Source organism: Homo sapiens, chromosome 7, assembly GCF_000001405.40.
Source record: "Homo sapiens chromosome 7, GRCh38.p14 Primary Assembly".
Lineage (NCBI taxonomy): Eukaryota > Metazoa > Chordata > Mammalia > Primates > Hominidae > Homo > Homo sapiens.
In genome coordinates, this window is record NC_000007.14 from 1289728 (window position 1) to 1292381 (window position 2654).

The 2654-nt window shown below is 59.5% G+C and overlaps 1 annotated feature.

Moving 5' to 3' along the window:
- Positions 249 to 1123: an enhancer, noted in NCBI's record as "H3K27ac-H3K4me1 hESC enhancer chr7:1329612-1330486 (GRCh37/hg19 assembly coordinates)". NCBI's record gives its function as "activates a minimal SCP1, AML or CMV promoter by ChIP-STARR-seq in naive H9 embryonic stem cells {active_cell/tissue: H9 hESC(naive)}" and the evidence as "EXISTENCE:reporter gene assay evidence [ECO:0000049][PMID:30033119]".

Genomic DNA, 2654 nt, shown 5'->3' on the forward strand with positions numbered 1-2654 from the left:
ACTGACAGTTTATTTTCACGTCCCGGCTCGAGGGGGGCGGCGGGGACGGGGGGAACCCATTTGAAATAAATACTTGTGAGTCTCTGACAGACTCCAGACGGGCCGTCGACGCCGCCTGGCAATGTCTGGGACCTGTCACACTCTGTGATCGGTCTTTTTACAAACACAAACGCTGCTGATTTCTTATCAAATGTAAAACCGGCCCGGCTCTTTCTTAAATGGTTACCACGAGCATGAAATTGACATTGTGAATCACATGTGACACCGGCTTGTCTGCGCCGTAATTGATCGGTGCTTAGGAGCAGGCGCGGCTGGCCCAGAGCTCCCAGCCCCACCGCGCCCCCCGCCGCCCGCGGCCCGAGCTTTGAGTCCGGGCCCCAGCAAATCGTTGGCAATGGGAGAAAACTCCAAGAAAACGCTTGATTCATGTACGTTGCGTTTCTTCCCCCTCCGCTGTCCTCCGAGGTGCCAGTTCCAATTTCCACGGTTCCATCATTACGCACATCAAACGGCTGTAATTGGCTGCTACAGAAATTTATCCTCCGAAAGGAGAGAGAGTGGGGGAGAGAGGGCAGGAGAGGAGGGAGCGGCGGAGGACGGGAAATGGTGGCGGTAATGAGATTTTGGAAGCCACAGCGCCACCCCCGAGGTTGGCAGGGAGAAGGGAGAGGCTGGCACGCTCGCAGGAACGCAGCCGCGTTCGGCCTGGCTAGCAAAACGCCGTTTGAAAACAAGTCTGGTGGGGTGTGGGTGTCACACAACAGCCGCAAACACACTGCGCCGGTCCAGGAACAGCCGGCGCCTTTCACAGCCGTCGTCGTCACGGTTACGGCGGGCGACGCCCGCAGACCCCCCTCCCCCTACTTCACAGTGTGCACAGCTGGTGGTGCCCAGTTCCTACCACACCAAGCCAGAGTTGCTCGGGGGTGATCGCTGTGTTGCAGAAGGGGAAACTGAGGCCCGGAGAAGGGAGGTTGCTCGGGAAGCCAATCTGGGGCACAGTGTGAGCCTCCTTTCTCAGGGTTTCGCTTCCGGACGTCCCCGGGAACCCCTCTGCAGCAGCTTGGCCCCACGGTGCCGGCATGTGACCCGCCTCTCTGCCTGCTCCTGCACCCCCATTTCCAGGGCTGCCTGCTCCCTCTGTCGGGCAGGCTCGGCCGGCACCCTGGCAGGTCGTGAAACTTGAATTGGTTTTTCAGGCCATGGATTTTTCCCGAGCTTTCTGGGGCGTGCGAGAGTCTGTAACTGAACAAATCAAAGATCCCGAGGGGCCGCCCTACAGTGTCCCCCCCACCCCCACCCCGAGCCTTTCTCCCTCCAGGGCTGGTTCCTCAGAGCTCACCCATCCCCTTCTGCATCCCCCCGGGCCCAGGACCTGCAGGCCAGGCTCACCCTCTGCCCCGAGTCAGCCCGCGCTGCCCCCCGGGACGTGCAATCCTCTCCATGGCGCGGCGCCCATGCTTGCCTCCTCTGGGCCCCACATGCGGTCCGGCAGCTCCCTGGGCGGGCGTATTTATGTCTCTGTTTTTCCATTTGGATTTTGTGACTGATGAAACAGTGGTGCTTAATTGCACGCACGGCAATGGTGCCTTGTGGCAGGCAGGAGGCAACCTCCCCGGTTCGCCGTTATGCAGCCATCCTCCTGCAACTGGCAACGCTGGGCGCCTTGCCAGGGCCTCCCCAGCACCCCACAGACAGGCAGGAAGCCACCCTGCCGTCCAGATGGGGAAACTGAGACCTACCAAGCAAAGCAGCTCCCTGGCCTGGCCCACATCCCAGGTGCCTAGGCCAGCGCCCCCTTCACCACACCACGTAGCCTCTGAGGCCACCTGAAGCCTCTCGGGAAATCCATCTGTGAGTGGCGGCTGGAAGCTTCTCAGGCCTCCAGAGCGGGAACGCCGAGCTCCTTCTGAGTGCCTGGCTTGTTTTTCTCTCACGGGTGCTGCGATGGATACGCTGCAATAGAATGTGTTTCCTTTTTCGCCTTGGCCCCCAGGAAGCTCAGAGTCAAGTCAGTCTCTCTTAATGACTCTATGGGCACCCAGGGAATGCACCTCTGAATGCTGATCTGTCCAGAGTCACTCAATTGAGTGTTGTGCCTTTTTCTAAGTGTTTCAGATCCTTTGAGGGCGTGAAGTGAAGCTCAGTGAAGCTTGGAACATCCCGAGGGTCTGGCGTTGGGGCCTCTCTGGGGTGCACATCAGCCCCTCCATCCTCTTCACACTTCCCTCTTGCCAGTTGTCCTCCCCAGCAGTTGTGCGCGAGGTCCATCCAGGGGGGCTAGCGCCACAGCGGGCACTATGACAGGGGGGACATTGGCATGAGTTGTGGGAGGGCAGGATCTGGGGAGGGGCGACACACACTGGTGGTGAGTTCAGGGCAACTCCCGGGGAAGCGTTCGCAGAAACTACAGGGTGGTTATTTAGTTGAGGGCCAGCAAACAGGTGTCACCTCTCTTGCCCTTTTCGCTTGAGAACAGCTTTCTGGAGCGCTATGTTAAGGAGTCTGTGGTCCTGTCTCAAAGGCATCCAGTGATTGATTAGTGATGTCTGCAGTCGACAAGGGCGGTGGCTGGGGCTGCCATGGTTTCCCAGTTGGGGCTGAGGTCAGGCTTTGTTGAAGCTGGGCTCACTGGCTGTGCCCACCCCAGCCAC